At 40.2% G+C, this 26359-nt stretch overlaps 1 protein-coding gene across 22 annotated transcripts in view; it reads right to left on the reverse strand.

Moving 5' to 3' along the window:
- The window catches only part of CEP112 (centrosomal protein 112), a 556597-nt gene that overhangs the window by 29346 nt on the left and 500892 nt on the right, over positions 1 to 26359 (reverse strand). For 19 of the 22 annotated variants that reach the window (NR_126542.2, XR_007065281.1, NM_001353128.2 and 16 more), the window contains one exon: positions 24247 to 24336. Coding sequence is in view for 19 of the 22 variants with exons in the window: in NM_001353128.2 (NP_001340057.1) it covers positions 24247 to 24336 (90 nt within the window). In the remaining 3 variants the exon portion in view is untranslated. Of the gene's footprint in view, positions 1 to 23361; positions 23788 to 24246; positions 24337 to 26359 lie in introns of those variants that run through there. The other 3 variants (XM_047435526.1, XM_047435525.1, XR_007065280.1) reach the window with 2 other exon arrangements.

Consider the following 26359-nt stretch of genomic DNA (forward strand, 5'->3'; position numbering starts at 1 on the left):
TCCAAGATCAGGGTACCAGCATGGTCTGGTTTAGGTGAGGGCTCTCCTCCTGACTTGCAGATGGCTGCCTCCTTACTGTATCCTCACATGGCAGAGACAGTGCAATATTTCTCCTATGTCTCTTTTTGTAAGGGCAATAATCTCACCATGAAGGCCCTACTCTCATGACCTAATTACCTTCCAAAGGCCCCATCTCCGATACCATCACACTGGTGCTCAGAGCTTCAATATTTTGGCGGGGTGAGAGGCATTAACATTCAGCCCATAACACCACCTCAATTTTAATGCCTTTTATTTCCACACCAGAGATTTTTTTCACCCCCACTTTGCTGTGTCACTGGCCTCCTTTCCATTGGCAAGCCTAGCCCTACACCAAACTGCTGAGACAATGCAGGTCAGGACAGGAGGTACATTAAGAGCCTCAGTCCATCAGCTGCAGACAACTGAATTCTTCTTGCTATTGCAGACCCAGTATCAGGGGCCTCAAGGCCAACTCAAGGGTGTGCTTCATTAACCCAGGTCATATGCATGGGTTTCTGCCATTCCCTCCTGCCTACTGCTCTAGGTCTCTGCTAGAATTAGAGCACAGGGCAGATGAAAGACAAGCCTAGGATACTGCGCGAGGTTCTGTGGAACAGAACTTTCTCTTTTCTTCTGATATGAGCCTGGAAACATAGGCTCAGGAACTGATAGCAGGTATCTTGCAACCATGAAAAGGACAATTTGTGGAGAATGGAGCCAACAATAAGGGAACAGAGTTAAAAAATGGAGAGAGAATAATTGGCTTTTGGTCACATAATTTGAGCTATTGGATTAAGCCTCCCCTGAAGCCAATGCTACTTCTCAGTTGACATGAAGCAACATATTCTTCTTATTGGTTAAGCCATTTGTTCTTCAACCAATTATTTCTAATAAATTATTTGACTGGGGCTGAGATTCCCTGCCAAGGACCTAGACTTTGTACCCTATGAGCTGGCCCCAGCAGTCCCCCAGCAAGGTAGTAAGGGCCACTCGATTTAAACTCTGCCACACCCTACTGGCTGGACTGGATTGCTTTGGGTACTGACACCTGCCCCAGCTCCCAAACCAACTTCCACATCTCCAAATACCTTGCCTACCTCACTGTTCATCTGCATTTCAACTCTGATCACTCAAAACTTGCCTACTTTCTGAATTAATGAGTTAGTTTCCTTGTGTAGTCTCTTGGTGACTTAACCTACAATTTATACACAAAATCATATGTTGCCAGGTTTTTTGGGCCAAATCCGAACTCTGGGAGCTCCCTGACACCTGCATGCTTTATCCCCAGGCTACCGCCTGTTGCTACAGAAAGTAAACAACAATAATAAAACACACACATGCTGTTTCAACAGGGTCATCTAGAAATTCATGCTATTTAACCTCAATGGACCTTCTCCATTGCTGGTCAACCTTTAACTGCTCTCTGTTTTACATAGTGTAGGGGCCTTTTTCATACAATGTCTACCTCATGGGACACCCACATACTTAGTAGCCAACATTACTGACGATCTGCTGATGACTGACCCTGGTGTAATCTAGGGTTCATTGGTCCCTTGTGCTGGGTGAAGCCTTTGGTAATACTTAGGGAGCACCAGAGAAAATAACTTTACACAAAGACAAAAAGTTTAGTTATTTGCTGTATGTCTTAATTGATGCAAGCCATCAAAGTAGGAATTGCAGAGAACAAGGTATAAATCAATAAAATAAGTAAATGGAAGTGATTGAAGGACAGAGCCACTTTAAAGCAAGTGTCGCTCAATTTCCTGAAAACATAACGAAATTGCTTTGCAAAAGAAATCATAATGGTTTGCTTTTAATTTTTCCTAAAGAGCACTAATAACAAATAATGGAAAGTTCAATTGATAATTAAAGAAAAAAAAAACACTTCACTTTTGAGCATTCATGAGGCAGTATTCTTTTCAAATTATTATACTCTGGCAAGGCATACTCAAGGTACTTGGTTCCTTTGTACTCTTTCCCTCTGTATTTCAGGTTTTATATGAATGAAACACAATGAGTAATTCCTTCTCTTTGGATCCTTCAGGATATTATTTAAACACTGGCATCTGGTCTAAGGGAAACTTAATGCTAAGTCAGAGGAGTATTTGAAAAATAGTTTACATCTGGTTTTGTACTACCCATCCCTGGAAGTATGCAGGGAGGGTGGAGGAAATGAGCACATTGCTGGCTCTCTGGGCTGTGGTGCTGGTGGGGCTGGGTCTTTTGGTGTAATGCATACCACAGCATTCCCTTTTATAAAGTGAGGGATTAGTGCCACCTTCTTTGTAGCAATGTCGTGACCTCTATAATGCTTCTTAAATTGAGGACAATGATGGACCCACCAAGCCTTAACACATGATTTAAATCTGATCTGACAGTACTTAAACCCAGAACTCCAGAGGGCTAATGGTTGAACAAGCTTGGGAGAATGTCCAGGGAACAAAATGTAGAAGCCCGATGAATTACGGAGGAATCACAACTCCAGGGCAATGGAGGGGGGAGTAAAATGACATATTCTGAGTTGGTATCTTTTATAGGATTGACTAAAACTGTGGTCCCACTATAATGTGCTAGAAAGCAAAAAAATATATATTATTTTCACTCGTACATCTATAATTTAAGAAGGATATGAGTTTTAACAACATTTGTACTCTTACACACACACACACACACACACACACAAAACCTATCGAGAGGAATCTCTCATAGAGGCTAAAAATTAGAAGCAATAATATTTTAGGGTGGTCATTAATTTTAGGTACAGGTATATAGTATTTTAAATTTCTCACATTTAGACAAACTTAGAAACCTGATTAAAATCAGTTTGTGATATTTGTATACTGAGGATAAACGTAACTTGTAGAACCATGAAGAGCAAAACACTCAATAATGAGTCACAGCAGGACCCATGGAAGCTCACCTAGCAGTGACGTCTGACCTGCAGCAGCCACTGTGCTCAGAGGGAGGCCGACGACTGCGCCACTCCCTTGGGCACTTTTTTTTTTTTTTTCGAGACTGAGTCTCGCTGTGTCACCCAGGATGGAGTGCAGTGGCGCAGTCTCCACTCACTGCAACCTCAGCCTCCCAGATTCAAGTGATTCTCCTGGTTCAGCCTCCCAAGTAGCTGGGATTACAAGTGCCCACCACCATGCCTGGATAATTTTCGTATTTTTAGTAGAGATGGTTTTCGCCATGTTGGCCAGGCTGGTCTCGAACTCCTGACCTCAAGTGATCCGCCCACCTCAGCCTCTCAAAGTGCTGGGATTCCAGGCATGAGCCACTGCGCCCGGCCTCCTTGGGCACTATTCTTAGGGGACCTACTCCATTTCAATAAACTATAAGTTGGTGACAGGGCCAATGTTTATTTTGTTTTTGGCTTGTAAACAATTCACACATCGAAAACATCTCTGCCCTGCTCCTTCACTAATCCCCAGGGCCCTCCAGGTATGTCAAGCTGTTCAATATACACGTTAAGCCTTTGGCATTAAGTCAGGAACTTTCTACCCACATCCAAGAGACCTTATTACCCCTGTGACTTGTATTTCTGCATTTTTCTTTTCCTAACTCAGATCCCCCACCTGGAAGATCTTCTGTTTGTAGTTAAGTACTAAAAGTCTATATAATTCATAACCGCGAGGGCAGAGAAAACTCTAAAACCACCTGCCTGTATGTGGCTTTCGGGAAGCAACATTCCTGTGATCACACAAGCTGAAAAGGAATAAAAGTGCTCTCTCACAACAGCACCAAGTTGAGGTACTTTCCCTTCTTTCCTGGGATGGAACAAGAAGTGTTTCCTTTCTTTTCCATGTTTGTTAGAATTTGGATGGTTTCTATTCTCTCAACTCAGTGTTACTGATTGGCTGGAAGAGTTCATTCCACCCTTTTAGCCAAAGTCACTTTTGAACAGGCTGTTTTCGACTGCCAGGCAAGCACCACACAAAATTGGCATGAGATGCTTTTCTTTGGTTCCATTGGCCTCTCCTTTCTCTCTCCATCACTCCACTTACAGAATCTTGCCCTCCCCATCTAATGCCCCATATTGTCACATTTTCTCCCAGCTAACTTTCTTTTGGTAAAATCTCTAATGTGTGACAATTTCAACGGGTAACTTGCATTAGAAAGCCTCTGATTGTCAAGTAAAGTTCTAGTCTCGCAGTGAATTTTTTTGGCCCCCATCAGTTCAGTTTTCGGCAGGTGGGCAGGGGAAACATTTTGGGAGAGCGGCAGCTGGCCCTTCTCTCCTCACTGAAATCACACTACCAGTTTGACTTCGCCTGGTGTTAAGATTAATTCTTTTACTACTGCCTATTACTGACTCATTTCTCTTTCCTTTTGAAAATATGTTATGACATCGAGCCCCAAATTCAAGTATAAAACTAGATTTGGTGGCAAGAAATTCTCTTCTAAGGAATAGTTTTAGACTTTAGAGTCTGATGAGCCAGACTGAGAAGCATGTGTTACCACAGGGGTATAAACGTAGGGTTGGAGTTTGAAAAAGGGTATGTATAGCCTGGCGATAACAATTTGAGAATCACCACAATAAATGAGACCTGAAGACAATGGGGATAGATGATATCATTGAGGGAGAGAGAATGTATAGCTGGGAAAGAAGTAGGGAATAGATACCAGAAAACAGAGATTATTTACTGTATGGGGAAGGCCTAAAATCAGAAGACAATAGAAGAGATTGAGAAGCTGCTGTCTAAAAAAGAAGAAAAGGCCGGGTACGGTGGCTCATGCCTGTAATCCCAGCACTTTGGGGGGCCAAGGCGGGTGGATCACGAGGTCAGGAGATCGAGACCATCCTGGCTAACACGGTGAAACCCTGTCTCTACTAAAAATACAAAAAATTATCCAGGCATGGTGGAGGGCACCTGTAGTCCCAGCTACTCAGGAGGCTGAGGCAGAAGAATGGCGTGAACCCGGGAGGCGGAGGTTGCGGTGAGCCGAGATCGCGCCACTGCACTCCAGCCTGGGCGACAGAGCGAGACTTCGTCTTGAAAAAAAAAAAAAAAAAGAGAGAAAAATAGAATTATGCTGGGGTAAGAAGTCAATGCAAATTAACCTTGGGAATCTCTTCTACTTGGCTATGAGCTCCTTCAGGAAAAAGACTCTCTTATTTATCTTACAGTCGAAGGCTAATGGCTCCTGGCACATAGTAGGTGCTGAATAAATGTTTGCTGAATAAGTGCCTTCTCTTTTTAAAAATAACCTGTTTGTCCCTTCAGTGGGGCATATGTTCTTTGAGGTTTTTTTGTTTTTGTTGTTGTTGTTGTTTTTTTTTTAACTGATGCTTAAAAGAGGGTCTGAAACTTTTGTGTTCTGTCATTTTCAAAATACCCTCTAATTATACCCTAATAGTTATATAGGTATCATAGCTAGAATTTCCCAACAGGCAGGATTTCAACTCACTGTTTGGGTCCTGTTACTTTCTGTATATTTTTATAACTCAGTTGTAACTAAAAAAAAAAACCCTCATAATTGAAATTCTCAAGAACTTTTCTATTTACTGGCAGTATATTAATATACACAAATGCAAACACATTTATTATTCTTTGTCCCCTATTTAAAAACTGAATAACAACAAGTGTCAACTTTTAAAACCCATCATGCATTCTTCAGGCTTCACCTTAACCCCACCTTCCTCTAGACTTAGAAGCTCCAAAATATCACAGCTCACAGAGAAATAGAGCCTGCAACAATTAACCAACTTAATTTTCACAGATGCTACCATCAATCAATACATATTACATATTAATTTTCACATATGCTACAATCAGTTTTTCACAAGCTTCACTAAAAAGGTCAGTATACACCGAACCAAAAATTTAGCAGTTTTAAGGATTAATGAAAACTAAGTAGATACTACTTCAGAATTATGAATCTGATTGTCAGCCAACTCAGGGTCTAAAACCTTATGGAATGTATTACTACTGTATTTACTGATCATGCAGTTGAATGCCTGCTTTGTACAAAGCACTGTGGTAGTGGGCGGGGGGGGCGGGGCAGACCAAGACTAAGCTCAGTACAGATAACTGGGGAATCAACTCACACTACAGTCGTTGAAAAAATAACCCATTATTATAAAGAAATGCATCAAAACAACATAATAGATTATACAAAGAATATAAATATATAAATATCCACTATTATTTCTGAAAGGAAACTTATTTCTCAGATGTCTGTTAGGGTTGTTTGGCTGAGAAGGGGGGTGGGTAAAACAAATAGTACGCAGCTGGTGGAAAGAGAAGGACTATAAGCAGGTGGCAAAAGGGAAAACAGTAGTCACTGGGGGTCAGGAATCTGAAGGTCATACCACAGGGTGACATCACAGAAAAGAGAGCCCTGACTACACTTTAAGAGCTCCCGAAGGGGAAATTGGGAGGTAGCATCCATAAGGGGAGAAGTACCCCCATGTACAGGGAATGCTACATCTCAGAAAAGAGGATCTTGCACTGTGTCTACGGGAGCCCATGATGAGTGTAAGAGAAAAGGGTCAAAAAGTCTCTTTGTGACTGATGTACGGACAAGAAGAATGGTGTTTCTATCCTGCATATGCAAGAGGACTTGGAGGCTTTCTGTCTCTCATTGGTACAAACTCCCTGAACCAACTGGAGATAAACTCTGTTCATCTTCTATGTGGTGAAAGTTGACTGTGGAACAAACAGACATACTATATACACCAACACACAACATATATATGTGTGTGTATGTATATATATAGTATGTATGTGTGTATGTACATATATAGTATGTGTGTGTATGTATATTTATAGTACTTGTGTGTGTATGTGTGTGTGTATTCCTACTATAATACATTCACTGCCCTCAGAGGAACCTTAGTCTAGTGGAAATGACAAAATATGTCCACAAGTAATTAGAATGAAGGTGATGTGTCTGAACTCAACAAAAGGTAGCTATTAGAAATCCTCAGGAAGCAAACTCTTTCAGTGAAACTTAGGAATTCTCATTAAAGATAAGAAAAAAACAAGGACACATACTATCACTGGTACTACTTGATATGGAACTGGAGGCCTCACCTGTGCAATATGACAAACATTAATAAATAAGGATGAAATACAGGAAGGAAGATACAAACATTAAATCTGTTTAGGAATGATACAATTGCCTACTTAGAAAATTTAAGAAATCAACTGAAAGATCATTAGAAGTAATGTTGGTAAGAGCTCTGGTGAGACAACTGTAATACTCCTAAATACCAGAATTATCCATTTAGAAAAAACAAGGGAAACCCATGAAAAGAAAATATACCATAATATATTTGGGAATAAGTTTAATAAGAAATGTACAACACATCCATCCATATTAGGATAGATTTCAGTTGTAATGAAAAAACTAATGAAATGCAAAGAGATGTAAAGTTCCTGAATGGGAAGACTCAATATCGCAAAGATGTCAATTGTCCTGAGACTAATTCATAAATTCAATACAGTCCCCATAAGACAATCAGTGGGATTAAAAAAAAATGAACTCTACAATCTTAGCCCAAGATTCATGTGAAGGAGAAAATGCTGAAGAATAACTAAGACAATTTAGTTTAAATTTTTAAAAAGATGATGAGAGGAGTCTTCTCTTTATAGATGATATTTACTACATATTAGTACTCTTCAGAAAGGTTTTGCTTGTAATACCTGATTGAATCCTCACAACAAATTCATAAGGTGAGTACCACTATTAATTCATTTTCAAGATAGGGAAACTGAGGCAAATCAAGCAAGTAACTTGCTTAACGTTCCATAGCAAGTAAGTGGAAGTGGCAGAGCTGAGATCTGAAGCCAGGCACTGTGGCTCTGAAGCTCATGCTCTTAAGTACCCTAATAGATGGCTCATATTGGCACAGGAAATCGATAAATGGGAAAGAAGAGAAAGTCCCAGATTCACACACATATCAAAAATTTGATTTTTGAAAATGATGGCATTTCCAAAAAATGGGAGAAATATATCTCAGTCAATACATGGTATTAGTATTAATAACTGGCTATCTATTTGGAAAGGAAACTAGTAAAATCCCTGTATTAGTTTTTTATCATTGCTGTAACAAATTACCCAAAGTTAGCAGCTTAAAACAACACAGATTTATTCCCTCACAGTTTTGTAGGTTGGAAGTTTGAGGGAGCTCAGCTGGATCCTCAGCTCTGGGTATCACAAGGTCAAAATCAAGGTGTCAGCTGGCCTGGGCTCTTATCTGGAGGCTCTGGGGGAGAATTCACTTCTAAGCTCATTTGGGTTGTTGGCAGAATTCACTTCCTTGGCACTACAGGGCTGAGGTTCCCATTTCCTGGCTGGCTGTGAGCTGCGCGTCCCTCTCATCTCCTTGCGACTGCTATTCCTCATCATGTTGTCCTCTCCCTCTTTAAAGTGGCAATGGCGCAATGGTTCTTAGGCTTCAAATCTCTCTAGCCCCCCCGCCCTCTTTTGCCACATTTGCCATGTTCTCCTGCCTCCAGCTGCAGAAAGTTCTCGGCCCTTAGTGGTCATGTGTCTGGATCAGCCCCACCACTTGGATAATCTGGGATCATCTGCCTTTTTTAAGGTTACTTATTAGTAACCTTGATTATATCTGCAAAATCTCTTGCAATGCAATGTGCATAGTCACAGATGCCAGGGACTGGGGTATGGACCTCCTTCAGGGGCCATTCTGTCTACCCCAATCCTTCTCCCACATAATATATCCCACATAACATAACAAATTTGAGGTAGATTAAAGAGTTAAATGTATGAAACGAAACTCTCAAAAGTATAAGAAAATAAAAGAGAATATATTTCATAATCTAGGTTAGAGAGTACCTTCCTAAGCAAGCTTGGAAACCATAGGGAAAAAGATAGAAGGTAATCTTCTCAAAAAATTAAAATATTGAATAAAAAATTAAAAGATAAGCAATTCTGAATTCTGAGAAAGTATTTGCAACTTATCTAACTAACAAATGATTAACATACAGACTATGTAAAAAATAAACTTTCTTTTTTTTGGAGTTGGAGTGTCACTCCATCACCCAAGCTGGAGTATAGTGGCACAATCTTGGCTCACTGCAACCTCCACCTCCTGGGTTCAAGCCATTCTCCTGCCTCAGTCTCCCGAGTAGCTGGGATTACAGGCGTGCGCCACCAAGCCCAGCTAATTTTTATATTTTTAGTAGAGACAGGGTTTCACCATGTTAGTCAGGTTGGTCTCCTGACCTCAGGCAATCCGCTCGCCTCAGCCTCCCAAAGTGCTGGGATTACAGATGTGAGCCACCATGCCCAACCAAAAAATAAACTTCTATAGATCAAATTAGAAAAACAAATCAATAGAAACAATTAGCAATAAATGTGATCAAGCAATTCATGGAAATGCAAATACTTTCCACTCTTAGTAATGAATGATTAGATAATCCATTCCCAGGTCTGTTTCAAAATGTTAGGCAAGGCAGGGAAGAATTATGGGGTCAAGATCCTGGAGATGACATAAAGCAGAAGAATTTGTAAAGCTGGCATGTGGGGACATTTTTACATGGTGGCCTTTGCCAATTCTAGAGTGGTTGGTGAGAGGCTGAGAAGCTGAACAAATCTTTCTTTTAACAGTTTCACACACAAAAAATCCAAAGAGACAAAAATTGCAGTCCAGGGCTCACTCAGGAGGAGTGTCTGATAAAATCCCTATACTTTGGGTGGATTCCAAAGGGCTACACTCTAGGAGTAGGAGTGAATTGGAAATAAACCAGCTCTCTCCAGAACTGAAGTTTAGCTTCAAGTCATCTCAATCTTTGAAAATAAATTAAGGCTATTCAAGATTACAAGTGCCACTACCTGTCTATCTAGAAACAAATCTAAGTTCTCTGGAGGAAATTAACATCATCCTAGGTCTTAAAATTGTTTCTATAAATTTTCATATAAAATATCTGGCACTCAATCAAAAATAGGCAGACTCACAAGAAGCAAGACAACATGCCAAGAGAAACAAAAGACAATGAAACAAGATCCTTGTGAGCTCCAGATCATGGTTACGAGACTTAGACTTTACAAGAACCAAGACATAGGTCCAACAGAATAAGAAAAATGATTGTGAATTTTGATATAGAATAAGTAATTTAAAAAGAACTAAGTAGAAAGTCTAGCTCTGGAAAATATAATAAGCAAAATTAAGAATGAGTTTAACAGTAGGTTAGACACAGCTAAGGAGAGAATTAGTGAGCTAGAGACTGGGTAAAAATAAAATATCCAGAATAAATACAGACATAGGAAACAGGGCTAGAAGGTCTAATATATACATAATTGTATTTCCAGAAGGAAGACAGAGAGATAGAGTTAGACAGAAGTAAAAGTAGAAAAATCTAAATACCGTAACTACTAAAAAAAGTATATCTATAATTAATTACAAATCTTCCAACAAAGAAAAGTCTAGGCCCAGGTGGCTTCATCAGTGAACTCCACCACCTATATTACAGGTGTTCACCACCATGTCCAGCTAATTTTTGTATTTTTATTAGAGATGGGGTTTCACCATATTGGCCAGGCTGGTCTCGAATGCCTGACCTCAAGTGATCCACCCACCTCGGCCTCCCAAAGTGCTGGGATTACAGGTGTGAGCCACCATGCTCGGTACCCCAAATATTTTAAAGGAAGAAAGACTATCAACTTGATACAAATTCTTCCAGAAAACAGAGACAGAATAATTTGTTTTATGAGGCCAGCAAACTTTAACACCAACATCCGATGAGAATATTATAATAAAAGAAAACTATAGGCCAATATCCCTGAGAAACATAGATGCAAAAATCCTAAACAAAATATTAGTAGACCAAAATCCATCTACAGGTTAAAAAAAAGGGATAACAAATGGGATTAATTCCATGAATGCAATATTATTATATTATTAATATTATTATATCAATAACATTAGAAAATAAACCTGTAAATTTTACTGCATTCACTGAATAAGAAACAAAATTCATATGATTACTTCAAAAGATGGAGAAAAGGCATTTAAGAAAATTCAACATCTACTTGTGATTTTAAAAATGGAAAATGAACTCTTACTAAGAATAGAAAGAAAATTCCTTACTGTGATGAAGGCAGTCTATACAAAATCAATTGTATTTCAGTATGTCAGCAACAAACTGTGAGAAAATGCAATTTTTAAAAATGCCATTTAAGGCCAGGCGCAGTGGTTCACGTAGCACTGCACACTCTGGGAAGCCAGGGGTGGGCAGATCACTTGAGGTCAGGAGTTTGAGACCAGTGTGGCCAACATGGTGAAACCCCATCTCTACTAAAAATACAAAAATTAGCCAGGTATGGTAGCATGTGCCAGCTACTTGGGAGGCTGAGGCAGGGGAATCGCTTGAGCCCAGGAGGCGGAGGTTTCAGTGAGCCAAGATCATGCCACTGCACTCCAGCCTGGGTGAAAGAGTGAGACTCTGTCTTAAAAGAAAAAAAAAAAAAAGAAGCCATTAAAAATAGCATTATAATGTGTTAAATAAATAGGAGCAAATCCTACCACCCAGAAGATGTTAAAGATATCTTCATAGAAAATGTAAAACAGAAAAATTAATTAATGTTTAAATAAAGTAGAGGGATATACTATGTTCACAGTAATGACTGGAAGACATTAGAAATTGACAAACCAAGTCTAAAATTTATATAGAAATCAGAAGAACCTACCACTGAAATGTAAACTTCACAAGGGCAAAGATTTTCATTCGGTTTGTTCAGCAACGTATATCCAGGCCATATAGTAGGTGCTCAGTAAATGTTTGGTGAATTGAAGTTTCAAAGTGTCTAAAGAGTTTACAGTAAGAGTTCACGCTGAGCTTCATTCAGTTACCATGGCACATTCTGATATACCATCTCATTTACCTTCCTGTTTATGAAATCACACAAAGCCTCAAAATCTTATATGCTGAATGGAGCAGTTGGGATCATTCGGTTTAGTTTTTCATTCTTTCTTCAGGGCATTCAGGCAAATAAAATCTTAAGCTGAAGAGTAGAAAAATAAGATAAATTGCTGCTCTGGTTTCAACTGGGGGAGCCTGGCCTGGAGCACCACCCCTTGGATTATCAACCCTAAGAAACAGGACAAGCATCTGAACATGATATCTGTGCCCTTCCCAACATGGCTGCTACCTAACTGAGCTGAGAAGAGCCCCCCAAATAAGTTTGTCAGGGCCAAGACAAACAGATTGCAAATTCCTTCTTATTAATAATAAAAAACTGGACAATCTGGCTGTCAGCGTGCTCTTTACCTCCTATTTCTTCTCACCATTTTAGAATAAACCTGTCTGTAAATCTCACATACAAAACCTAAAAAGGATCTTTAAACTATTTATTTTCCTTTATTATAATAGAAGTTCCTAGAGTATAACCACATTTTCTATGCTATTTGTATATACTGAGAGCTAAGTACGTATTAAGTTGCTGGATTCAAAACAAACTTTGTACTTAATAAAATTTAAATGATGCCAATTACATTATATTCTTTACTAATTCTTAGTTTTTCATTTAATTCAATAAGTTACATGCATTTGAACACTTTCTAACTATATATTTTTTCTACTGGAACTATGCCTTCTAATTTTGTATATAAATCCAACAGGATATCTACATGGAACATACATTTAAATGGCCTTTTAAACTTCTGAATTGTCTGTTGCATTGAAAAATCAACTTTCTTTCCTTGTTTCTAGTTTAAACTGACGTACATCTGGTACCTTTAAAACATCTCTACTTCGGCTGGGTGTGGTGGTTCACGCCTGTAATCCCAGCACTTTGGGAGGCTGAGGTGGGTGGATCACTTGAGGTCAGGAGTTCGAGACCAGCCTGGCCAACAGGGTGAAACCAGGTCTCTATTAAAAATACAAAAATTAGCCAGGTGTGGTGGCACACACCTGTAATCTCAGCTACTCAGGAGGCTGAGGCATGAGAATAGCTTGAACCCGGGAGGCAGAGGCTGCAGTGAGCCAAGATTGCGCCACTGCACTCCAGCCTGGGAGACAGAACAAGACCTTTATCTCCAAAAAAGATAAATAAATAAATAAATCTCTGCTTTTTCATTTGTTTGCCAATAAACAATTGCAATTGCTTCTACCTCAAAATAGCCCTTTCTCAACAGAAAAAGGGCTGGACTATAGTAAAAAAAAGGAACTGCAAGTTAAGTGGCCCCTCGGAATGTTTGATACGTTTTTCCAAACATGACAAGCACAATCAGTAGTCATCAAACATTTCTCTCTGCTGACTCAACCCCACCCTCTTTTTAACATCACTGTGTTGATCTCTACTTTCTCTTTCTACCTGTTCACTGAATTCTATGAATTCAGTGCTTAGTAGCTGTCAGAACAGGAAGCCTTGATAGAATACTGTGGGAACATAAACATATATATTCCTTTCTATCTTCCTGGGAAACTATATTTGATCACCCAGGTTAATACTTGATAATTCTATTCTGCTTGCCCACCAATTTTAAAAGGTGGGATAGAACACATCTTGGTTTTAAGTTTCTTCTATTTTATTCTTTAAGAGCCTCCATAATTTACTTGTTTGGAGTAAATCATATGTCTTGATCGAAAACATAATTTTTAATAAGGCTAAAATGAAAGCCAAAACTGTCTTAAAAATTAAACGAAAAGACATGAGACTATACCACAACATTACTCCATTCTAAGAATAGAAGATGAGACCCAGCCCCAAGGCAGGCAAAGCCTGGCTTTGAACCCTCCAGTCCCAGGTCAGAGATCTGTGTGCTCCTGCGGCCCTCCCCGTGGTCTTCGTCATCCGTCAGTATTCATTGCAGGGACGAAGAGCCACTTCAACAATGTAGAAAATGCTTTATGGAAAAACAGCTGCAGTGATGCAGTCGGTGCTTTGCTGACACGTGGATTTGATATGTCAGCAAAGCACAGGATTAAAAACATGCAGCAAGCACATAGAGGATCCTGCCTCTTCTCTCCTCCCGCAGCACACTCAGCCCAGTGAGGTTAAAAACAAAGAGAATCTCAAGAAAGCAAAGATGAAACAGAGCACGTTAACACCAGAAGAGTGCTTTAAGTGATCCTTTAAAAATGGCATTGCAATCATTGTGTATGGTTTTTAGTGAGGGTTTTGGGTACAAGTGTTTGACTTGCTTTGGCGCTTTGCCACCAAAATCTATTAGAATAACTGATTTATAAGAAATATTTTGATAAGATGTGTATTTAATAAAAATACTAATGTCCTTGACACTGTGGTTCAAGCTTTTTTTTTTTTTTTTTTTTTTTTTTTTTTTTTTTTTTTTTTCAGAAAACAGAGGCAAGTGTTCAAACTGTCACGGAGAATAACATGTGGCCAAAATTACATGTGGTTCTATCTCTCATAACAAGTCTTAGAATGATGCATCATACCAGCTGTCTGGGAACAAATGTATTTTGTTGGCATGGGAACAAAAGAATTAGTCTGAATTTTGTAATTAAACTGTGGTTATTAAAATTACTCGAAACAAACCAGAATAATAACCATTAAACATGAAAAGTCAATAAAAGTCTTTGAATTACATTTCTGTTGCAATTCCTGTTTTCATAACGTGCTTTGGGATGAAACATAGCTTTGAGTTGTTAGTACTTTTAAATAGACTTCACTGCAGATGAGTTAGCCAACAGCAGCTAAGACTGTGAAGTTTTAAAATCCTTTATGGAAAATGAAAATTAAAGGCTTGGAAATCTGTAGAAGACCAATTCTTTTTAACAATTGTCACAATTATTGCACAATTGATTTTCTGTCTCTATAGCATCTTCTTCTTTAAGGCTGCCTGTGACTCCATAGATTTGTTGGTTACCCTTGATGATGACTGAGGTGGTTTAAAGATAAGCAGTGCTATCCACTGAAAGCTTTAAGTTTATTGATTTTGGTTCTCCTAATAACCATGCTACTCCTGGATAGATCACTGGGCATTGTGGGAGGCAAATCAACTCTTTGGGAATACAAATGATACTAGTTGTAACGGTATAACAGGCGGAAGGAGCTAAGGAGCTTCCAGAGTCGTCTAATATTACCCGAAAGCTACTTATACTAAAGGGACCAAGTTTTATTCTTTAAAAACCCAGAGACCTAGGAAGGAATCAGCAGAATGCTAAGTTCATCTATAGAGAAAAATCAAGGACTTTTTTGGTGTCTTTTCTGCTTTGGCCTTCTTATAGGAGAGATTTGAAAGAAAAATCTGTCTTGTTTTAGAGGAGAGCAGAAAGGTGGGTGCCACGGGCAGGGCACTGGCATTTTGCTTTCTCTTCATCTTTCCCTGACCTGTGAATGCTTTTTGGTGCTATAATGTCTGAGGAATAGCTGAGGGCCCAGAGAAGCCATGAATGATCCTACCAGATGAAATGACCACCCCGGATGAAAATGATAAAAGAATATCTTTAATATTTGTTTTGATAAAAGTCTAGACAAGAATACACTGAGAAAAAGTCACTTAGAATATGTTTAGGAGGCCCAATACCAAGGGCCTGTGATCAGTACCCAAGTTCAGCAACTTTTGGAACTCTTCGTCCTCAAAGTCCCTGTGGCCTGTGATGCTGCTAATTCTTCCTCCCTCCTTCTCTCCATCTGTCACCCTCCCTCTCCCTCTTTCCATCCCGTCCTTCTTCCTCCCATTAATTCACCGAGCACCATTGGGCCTGATGCTGGGCTAAACGCTGGGATACAAGGATAAACATGACACAGTCCCAGCTCAGGTCCCACCCTCAAAGTGTACCACCTACTGAGGGAGTTTGATGGAAAAAGCTTTAATGCGGAGGGCGGGGAGGTGCATTTTAGTCCGTTCTCACACTGCTATAAAGATACTACCCAAGACTGGGTAATTTATAAACAAAGGAGGTTTAATTGACTCACAGTTCTGCATGGCTGGGAGGCCTCAGAAAACTTACAATCATGGCGGAAGGGGAAGCAGGCACCTTCTTCACAAGGCGGCAGGAGACAGAGTGAGTGAGACAAAGGGGAAGAGCCTCTTATAAAACCATCAGATCTTGTGAGAACTCACTAACACAGGAACAGCATGGGGGAAACTGCCCGCCATGATCCAGTCACCTCCCACCAGGTCTCTCCCTCAACACCAGGGGATTACAATTCAAGATGAGATTTGGGTGGGGACACAAAGTCTAACCATATCAGGGGGCCACAGAAAGTGCTGCAAAGGCACAGATAGATAAAAGTGGGACATCAGGTGGGCAGGGCTGTTTTGAGGATAGGGGCTCCGGAAAGCAAAGGCCTTACAGAGTGATTCAATTCAACAAGCGCTGGTGGATGCCATGAAGATGACAGATCGGGTCCTTACCCTAAGGGGCATAATGTCTAGTAGGAAATTCTCTTTGGTTTTCCTGCCTTTAAATTCTCCTGGCTCTGCTCTTCCTGCCCATTCCTTTTCAATCCTCTTTGCATCCTCCTCTATCTTCTCTGGTCCCTTGGCTGTGACCCTGCCTACCAATCTGCTCATGGCCCTCTTATATCCCTCTATGCTCTTCTTTGTCAATATTATCCACACATTCTGGGCTTCTGCTATATCTGCATCAAGACGACTCTGACATGCTTAAAGTCCTAGGGCTCTTTCTTGACTTCTGGATTCAGATTTTCATTTAAATGCCTCCAAATGAATGTCCTCCTGCTAGCATCTAGGATGCAACATCTAAAAAAATGATAGTGTCATTGTCCACTATATACCAGCTTATCAATTTAAAAAGGCATTATTTTCAACACATTCCTTTCTTCCACTCTCTAAATCTCTATATTCTGTGAATTTTTCCTTTTTTTAATTTTTTTTTTTTTTTTGAGACAGGATCTCTCTCTGTAGCCCAGGCTGGAGTACAGTGGTGCAATCTTGGCTCACTGCAACCTCTGCCTCCCTGGCTCAAGGGATCCTCCTACCTTAGCCTTCTGAGTATCTAGGACTACAGGTGCACATCACCACACCTGGCTAATATTTTTGCAATTTTTTTTTTAAGAGACAGGGTTTCACCATGTTGGCCAGGCTGGTCTGGAACTCCTGGGCTCAAGCAGCCTGCTTGTCTCAGCCTCCCAAAGCGCTGGGATTACAGGCATGAGTCACCACGCCAGGCCTGAATTTTTCTTTTCTTTCTTTCTTTTTTTTTGAGATGGAGTCTCACTCTGTCACACAGGCTGGAGTGCAGTGGTGTGATCTCAGCTCACTGCAACCTCTGCTGCCCGGGTTCAAGCAATTCTCCTGCCTCAGTCTCCTGAGTAGCTGGGATTATAGGCACCTGCCACCGCGCCCAGCTAATTTTTGTATTTTTAGTAGAGACAGGGTTTCAACATCTTGGTCAGGCTGGCCTTGAGCTCCTGATCTCGTAATCCACCCGCCCCGGCTTCCCAAAGTGTTGGGATTACAGGCATGAGCCACCGCGCCCAGCCTGAATTTTTGCTTTTAAATGCATCTTCACATTTACCCTCTTCTTTCTACCCCTTTTGACAATATCCAGCTCAAGCCTTCCGTATTTCTCTTGTGACCAGTGATGTGAATTTTAGGCCATAACCTCTGAATTGGTCTCCTTTCATTTCTTGTTCATCTTCCCTGCTGGACTAATCTTTGTAAAATATAACCTCAGTCATCTAGCACTCCCCAGCAAAGAAAAAGTCCCCCATTGCTGACAACTGCTTTCTAACGAATGACTGAACTGCTCAGCATTCCATCCAGAATTGGCTGCTGGTCCTGACACACAACACAGCGCTCAATAAAGAGTAGACACTCAGTAACAAATGATCCCTCTTCCCTTTTTTTAATGGATGAAATGAACAAAACGAACTTTCTGGTCTTGTTTTCCTCTTCACTGATATCACACCTTCTGGCCAAGATGTTACTCAATGTCCCTTGAACACTCGGCATGTTCTGCTCTTCACTCTGCCCTCTAACTAGAATGTCCTTCCTCTCTGTTAATGCCCAGGCCAGATGTTCCCTTCTCCGCTATAAACAACTATAATCACACACGTTGCATCTCTATGATGTTTGATAGTTTTTGAAGTATTTTTACACACTTTATCTTGTTTTGATGTTCCCAAGAACCCTGTGGGAAGATATTTTACTAACATTTTACTGATTAGGAATCCATTATCCAGAAAGGTTGAGTGGCTTACCCATGATCACATGATTAGTAGTGACAAAGGTGGACTGAGAACCAGCAGCACTTTTCCCACTAGATCACGACAGTCCTTGAAGCCTCTTCTGGTTTCTCTCCCTGTGCCTTGGTGAGGGTATCTGGGACTCTGCAGCCCACGAGGGAACCTCTTTCCCCACCCTGCAACCCCTAAACACACACAATTACCATGGAGACCGTCTTTGGTCACTAGTGTCTCTCCTAAATTAGTTGATGTGTCTAGGCCTTAAATATGAAGTTGGTTGCTGCAAAGCTGTGATCGAAATGTTAAAGTGTGACTTTTAGCTATTTTAAAATAATTTATGAGTCACTTGTGCCTGCACAGTCCAGACCTTTAATGCTTGCAAAACCAGATGAGACTTACAACTAAACCAGCTGGCTGCAAAAAAATACTGAGCAGAAAACCAAAGAGGACCCCGGGGGCAACCCAAGACAGCAAGACAAGGTAGAAGCCAGGAGCCTTCAAGAGAAGGCTGGCAGAATGCTGATTCCTGCCGAACAGCTTTGGAAGGACCCGGCTCCCCGGAGGGCTGCAAGCTCTTGAAACAACCCCAAATTAGCAAGTGCCACACACTGCCTAGGCAGTGGGACCCTAACCTCTTCCTGGTTAAAGATCCTCTCCTTCCTTCCCATAGGATCAGGGAAGACGGAAGGAAGGACCAGTGCTTGCATTCTTTCTGCATATTGTGATTCTGAGCCTCCAAGCCATTTAGTAAAAGAACCAACTTCCAGCTGGGTGCGGTGGCTCAGGCCTGTAATACCAGCACTTTGGAAGGCCGAGGCAGGCAGATCACCAGGTCAGGAGCTCGAGACCAGCCTGGCCAATATGGTGAAACCCCGTCTCTACTAAAATACAAAAATTAGCCAGGCATGGTGGTGGGCGTCTGTAATCCCAGCTACTCGGAAGGCTGAGGCAGGTGAATCACTTGAACCCGGGAAGCAGAGGTTGCAGTGAGCCAAGATAGTGCCACTGCATTCAGCCTAGGCAACAGAGCGAGACTCCATCATTAAAAACAAAAACAAAAACAAAAACAAAACCAACTTCCATTCCACACCTGGGGTCTACATTTTATACACATCCCATTTACTCTATCAGACTGTAAACTCCTTGAGGGCAAAATCTATAACTTATTCATCTTCGTTTCTTCTCAGACCTAACACTGTTTAGCAAAATACACCTGTTAAAAGAATAAAATGTTGAGTAAAAAAAGACTGAGTCTCCTGTGAAACACTCAGCATTGTATTTTATTTATTAGAACATCTCTAAAGTATTGTTTTTTTCTCACTAATTTGTTTAATAAAATATCCTTCTGGGAAACTGAGTGATCAATGTAATTAAAGCTATTCATACTTTCAAATTTTAAGATAGCCAGTTTGAAGCAGGGAATTTTGCTCTGTGTATGTTAATATCCACAGATTGGTATGTTAGAATCTGACATTTTTTGGTGTCTTTGTTATAAATACATGCTTTACACAGTGTTAAGAATAACAAGAAAACTTTTAGACTATTTATTTTCTTCCTTTTCTTTTCTATAATTTATCAAACCAAATTATCTAGTCTCACTGTGAATAACGAAACATTGTTTGCTCCCCATTGTGAATAATGAAACTAAGTGAATTTTAGTTTTACCCAAAATATTTTAATCTGTACCTGCACCCGAGTGACAGATGGCATATATCCATTTTACGCAGTGTTTAACGCAGTGGAAAATAATATTCTGGGAGTAAGCAGACCACTTACAGACCTACCCTGGGTCTGCCACTAGTGTGTTGTACATTAGGGAAGTCACATCCTTCCTGATGACTCAGTTTCTTTGCACAATGAAAAAGTCTGACTCAAGCTCTGATCTCCCTTCTTTGATGAAATTATGGGGTTCTTGCTCAGAATAAACTGGAATTAGAAATTATTACCTCCTCCTATGAATAAAAATAATGGTGATTTTAAATTGCTGTTTATTGATTAGAGAAAACATCACGTTTTTGTAAAGCTGACTTAGAAAATTTATTTTCTGATTCTATTGGTGTTATTTCTCTTGAATCTGCCCAAGGAGAAAGTTAACCCTTTGTGCCCCACAATGAGCACATCTTCCCTGGGGACTCTGTGTGCTGATCTGTCCGCTTGAGGGGACAGAAGGGAGAGTTGGTGGCACCAAGGCATGTGGTGGACAGCAAAGATGCCACCCATCAAGACCTGATGAGAAGCAGCTTTTGGTTTTTAATTAAAAACATAACTTTTACAATGCCTCATTCATTTCTTGTTTTTATAGAATCAAAACATAGACATTTTTCTTAAATGAAAACCAGAAACCATTTAAACATTTTTAAAGCAAGCAAGTTAAAAAAAGCAGCTTAGGATTGTCTTTTGTAATTCTGCCAGTTTCAATTTTGATTCCTTAATGCAACCAGTATCAGGATAACAATATTTGCTTGAAAAGAAAGAGAAGATAGTCCTCAGGGGCTGTTTCAAACACATTTTAGTTGTTCGATTGGCTGATGTGAGGCTAGCTACTGTTATTGAAGTTGCTTTGATGAACAGTGAAAAATACATTCATAATGTAACAATCTCAACATTTTAGATATCCTTAGTAAACTCATATTTAGCAGATCCTAAAAAGTGTCTGTGACAATAGTTCTAATTTTTTTTTTTTTTTTTTTTTTTGAGATGGTGTCTTGCTCTGTCGCCCAGGCTGGAGTGCAATGGCACAATCTCGGCTCACTGCAACCTCCACCTCCCAGGTTCAAGCGATTCTCCTGCCTCAGCCTCCCAAGTAGCTGGGATTATAGGCGCCCGCCACCACGCCTGGCTAATTTTTGTATTTTTAGTAGAGACAGGATTTCACCATGTTGGACAGGCTGGTCTCAAACTCCTAACCTCAGGTGATCGGCTTTCCAAAGTGCTGGTATTACAGGCATGAGCCACTGTGCCCAGCCTAATTCTAATTATTTTTGACTACTTGTGTTAGTGTCACAGATTTAAAGGGGGACATAGGTCAAATTTAGATAAAAGATTAAGTTAAATATGGATGAATAGTATTTGTTAAATATCTATTATTTGTTATGCAGTTTAATTGAAACAACTGGCTTTTTTTTTTTTTTTTTTTTTCAGCTACATCCTAGGACCTTGTGGAAAGAACCCAACATCTCTTGGTTACAAAGATTATGAAATATTCAGCTTTACCCATGGGTATTTCCTGACATTTCTTTGGTAAACTGTAGCCTAATAGAAGATATCAGGAATTAGTGTAAGAAATATTCTAAAAAGCTATTGTCACTACAAAGATGAAAGTAACTTTGATGATCAAAAAGAAGTCAATAAAAAAAGACTGAAAGTAGTTCCTGAATCCTTCTCTATTGTTCATTTGGGATTTCTTAATTTCCCTACTCTCAATATATTATGGAATTTTCTGTGTGAAGTTTTGCCATGAATTAAATTGATGTCAACAAAAGTTTTACCTTAAGTCATATTTTACCACAAACTAGAGAAGCCCCAGTCCTCCAGGGAGCACCTTTTCCTGCCTTTAAGAAGCTTGTCTCTTCTTCTTCTTTTAATTACAAGCATCATCTACAGAGGATGGGGCTCAGTTGACCTTCAGTGACAATTAGACCTGCTGATTTGACATGAACAAATCCATGCTCCCATCCGAGGAGGCATTTTCATCTCTTTGACTTGGCACACGATGGGCAAGTGTGCTGTGCTTGTGTTTCCTTTGCTCGTTGCTTTTCTCTGCCCATGGAAAGTCAATGGCATTTGCTCCTCTACCAGGAAGCAGGAATACAATGTCTGTTTGCCTGCCATCCTTGATAAGTTTACTTTCTCTATCATTGCTATCCAGTTTTTTTTTTATTTGCTAGATATGTAACTTGAAAATTGTCATGGAAGGAGCAAAAGTTTGGAGTTCAGATAAACCTGGATCTGAATACTCTTCTACTACTGTGTGATCTTGGATCTACTGCTGTGTGATCTTGGATGAGTTAATCACTCTGGATTTTGGCATGCTATTCACAAAATGCAGATGATAATACTGATCTTACATGGTTATTGTGAAAATTAAATGAACCAGTATGTGTAACATTTATTGTACAGTGTCTGTCATCTTGTCAGCATTTGATAAGGTATAGTTATTATTAATTTTTTTTTTTTTTTTTTTTTTTTGAGATGGAGTCTTGCTCTGTCTCCTAGGCTGGAGCGCAGTGGCGTGATCTCGGCTCACTGCAACCTCCGCCTCCCCAGTTCAAGCAATTCTCCTGCCTCAGCCTCCTGAGTAGCTAGGACTATAGGCACCTGCCACCACGCCCAGCTAATTTTTGTATTTTTAGGAGAGACAGGGTTTCACCATGTTGGCCAGGCTGGTCTCGAACTCCTGACCTCGTTGATCCGCCCACCTTGGCCTCCCTAAGTGTTGGGATTACAGGTGTGAGCCACTGCGCCCGGCCTAGTTATTATTAATTTTTTATTCTAGTATTATTCTATTTTGTTATCCTATTGTTGGGTGTATTACATAGACATTATATAAAACGTATATGTATATATGTATATTTATGCATCTCATATACATGATATGTACATACATATGTGATATACATATGACACAGAGTTCATTAGAGAGTAGGAAGGAATTATAGGAAGGCAAGTCAATTCAGTAAGTATTAACAGTCAGCATCTATTAGGTGCTTACTTTCATCATTTTGTACAATCCTCTATCGTGGGATCCTGTTTGTAAACATCTCCAGAGATTAAAGAAGAAAAGAAAACCTTCCCTATCAGCCTTACTTTTGTGTTTTCCCTTCCCCCAAATTCAGAATAAGCTAATATAATATGCCAATATTCCTGTACTGAGTTTTACAACCAATGTATAAACATCTGTCAATTCCTATGACTGTTTCTGTACATAATGGATTGGTGGCACTTAGATCAATATTAGCAACGCTACACTCAACAGCTGAGGGCAATGCATTTATAAAGGGTTTCATCAAGATTCATGGTCTCTAGTGATACATGTTGACTTTTTAGTTTAAATTGTCAAAATTACCACTAAGTGTAATTTATTATAACCAGAAGAGTTGGGTGAAAATAATGCTGTCATTTAAAAATAAAATAGGTCATTAGCTATTGTCACAGCCATACTATTCTGGGTTATATTACATTATTTTGAAAAGAATGGAAAGAAAAAGGAGAAAACTAAAATTCAAAAGAAAATGTGATTTATGCCTCTAAGCAAAATAATATCCATTTATTTTGAAATGATGACATAGCAGACACTGTTGGCTGCATACTCAACACTCCATTTCCCCTCCTTTTTGTTCCAGTTTTCATTCTTCTCCCAGTTTCATCACCAGCAGGTGGGTCCTGATTATTCTAGGCTAGTTTTGTATACTCAGTTCTTTAGCCAGGGACTGGGTATGCCAGGCTAAGCATGTGACCTTCTCTGGCCAATGACATGTAAAGGGAGGGGGTAGTTTCCAGGAAAGATTTCCTTACTCATTAGGCCCTAGAAACTGGCAGCCCTTTTCTGCCTCCGAATAGTGCAGATCTGGGCAGAATGCCTGGCACTGCTGCAGCCATCTTGAAGTTGGTTCTAGAATGAAGCCAGCACCGGAGGGAGAGTCATGAGAATGCTTTACTTGTGGACTTCTTGTTCTGTGAGGTAATAAATTGCTTTATTTTTTATGTGAACCATGGGTGGGATATTCTGTTACTTGCACCCAAAGCATCTTAACTGAAACAGGCAATGTGTAAACTTGTTTTTTTTTTTGAGACGGAGTTTTGTTCTTGTCACCCAGGCTGGAGTGCAATGGTGCGATCTCGGCTCACTGCAACCTCTGCCTCCCGGGTTCAAGTAATTCCCCTGCCTCAGCCTCCCAAGTAACTGGGATTACAGGCACCTGCCACCACACCCAGTTAATTTTTGTATTTTTAGTAGAGACAGGGTTTCACCATGTTGGCCAGGCTAGTCTCGAACTCCTAACTTCAGGTGATCCACCCACCTCGGCCTCCCAAAGTGCTGAGATTACAGGTGTGAGCCACTGCACCTGGCTGCACACACTTCTTGACCTAGAGAAAGTAAACAAGAGAGTCAAATAGTAAAGGAGAGGGTACCTGTTCCTGTGACTCCAATTCTTTGTGTTGTAATTTTTTCTCTGCACATCGCACCTGATTAGAACGGTTTTCTAATTCATCTTGTAAAACCTGAAACGGTATAAAATAAAGATATCATTAATAATTAGCACACTTGGAAAAATAGTTCTACACCATGAACTGGCACTAAAAAGGCCTCAGATCTCTAGTTTATTACTCTTGTTCCAAAGCATTCAGGCAAACAATACCAGACTTTTGTGTGTCAGGCCAAGATGTTTTCTGCTTTAAGAATACCTAGTATAAAAAATTCCAAAGTTATAAAATAGACAAATTGGCAGATGTCAATCATATATTAAAATGTCTCATATTCCCAGCACAGAACCACAAGCATGTAATAAAGCATATGTAATAAAGCATAACACTATTGCAATGAAAATGGCTCCCTCAGGACACCTGCAATGTACACTTACACTCTGAATATCATTGTGACGGATAGGAATTGTAATATCTGACCAGCATAACATTTTTCAAAATTATATTATGATAATTTGAGTAAATTATAGCAGCCTTAAAGGAATTTCTTTATAAAGTCAGAGAGGATGGTATGGAACTTGAGGAACTTGTAAGAAATGGAAAGAGGTGAACTCTTTCCTTTGCCAAGTAGCTGTTTGAAATAGCATTCAGGTTAATATGGGAAATGGAAACCACAAAGACCAATAATTACCACTGCATCAATTACTATGTTAAGTAAAGAGATGAACTAGAAAAAGAACTTGTAGTTTCCATGTGCTATTTCTATAATGACACTGGATTGTCCATTCAAACAATCCAATGTAATTACAGAAATACTACATGGAAAGTTACAGTGAGCAGAATGCATGGGGTGGTAACAGCAAAGGTGCCAAATTCACAAAATTCATTTCATCCAGTCAATATTAGTGAGTTCCTGCTGTGTGTCAAGAATTACGATAGGTACTCTAGACATAGCAATGAAAGAAAACAGACCAAAAAAAAAAAAAAAAAAAAAAAAACTCCGGTCGGGCACAGTGGTTCACATCTGTGATCTCAGCACTTTCAAAGGCTAAGGCAGGAGGATCACTTGAAACTAGGAATTCAAGATCAGCCTGGGCAACATAGCAAGATCTTTTCTACAATTTTTTAAAATTTAATTAGCTGGGTGTGGGGGTGCAAACCTGTGGTCCCAGCTACTTAGGATGCTGAGGCAGGAGGATCACTTGAGCCCAGGAGTTTGAAGCTGCAGTGGGCTATGATTGTGTCACTGCACTCCAGTCTGGGTGACAGAATGAGACCCTGTCTCAAAAAAAAAAAAAAAAAAAAAAATCCTTGCATTCACATGCTTAGATTATAATGGGGTGGAGGTAGGCAATAAGCAAACAGTAAGTGTATTATATAACCGTGATGAGTGCAGAAGAAAAATAAAGCAGGGAAGGGGACATTCTGGAGTGGTGTGAGGAAGAGGGGATTGAGATTTTAAATAGATGGTCCAAGAAGGCCCAGCTGGGCGAAGACCTGAAGGACAAGAGAGAGCAAGTCACATGTAAATTTCCACAGGAAGAGCCTTCCAAGCAATAGCCACTGCATGTGGAATGACTCCGAGATGGTATGTTTGTGGAAGCCATAAGGTCACTGTTGAGAGTGATCAAAGCAGCAGCAGTGAAGTCAAGGACATAACAGGGTTCAAGTCACATCAGGTTACGTGGAGTCTTGCAGGTCAAAGGCTTTAGATTTTGCCCAGAGATAGACAGGAAGTTGCTGGGGGGTGGGGAGCAGGTGCTGCTTTCATTGTTGTCTGAAGAGCAGACTGAGGGGCAAGGCAGAGGCAGAGAGCAGGGGAGAGGCCACTGTAACACCAGGAAAGGGAAGATGGAGAGCGGGGCCAGGTGGTAGCAGCTGATGAAGGAAGGATCAGGTCCAGGTATGAAATAGAGATGATGGCCCTGAAGGAGTGGAAGCAGAGAGAGGAAAAAACAGGACCCCAGGGATTCTGGCCTGAGGAGCTAAGACTGCAGTTGGCATTCACAGAGACAGGGCAGGTGTTGGGGGAGAGGAGCCGGAGCTCAGCCTCAGTTGGCTTCAGTTTGAAATGCCTATTACACATCCAGGTGGAGACACG

Source organism: Homo sapiens, chromosome 17 (assembly GCF_000001405.40).
Source record: "Homo sapiens chromosome 17, GRCh38.p14 Primary Assembly".
NCBI lineage: Eukaryota > Metazoa > Chordata > Mammalia > Primates > Hominidae > Homo > Homo sapiens.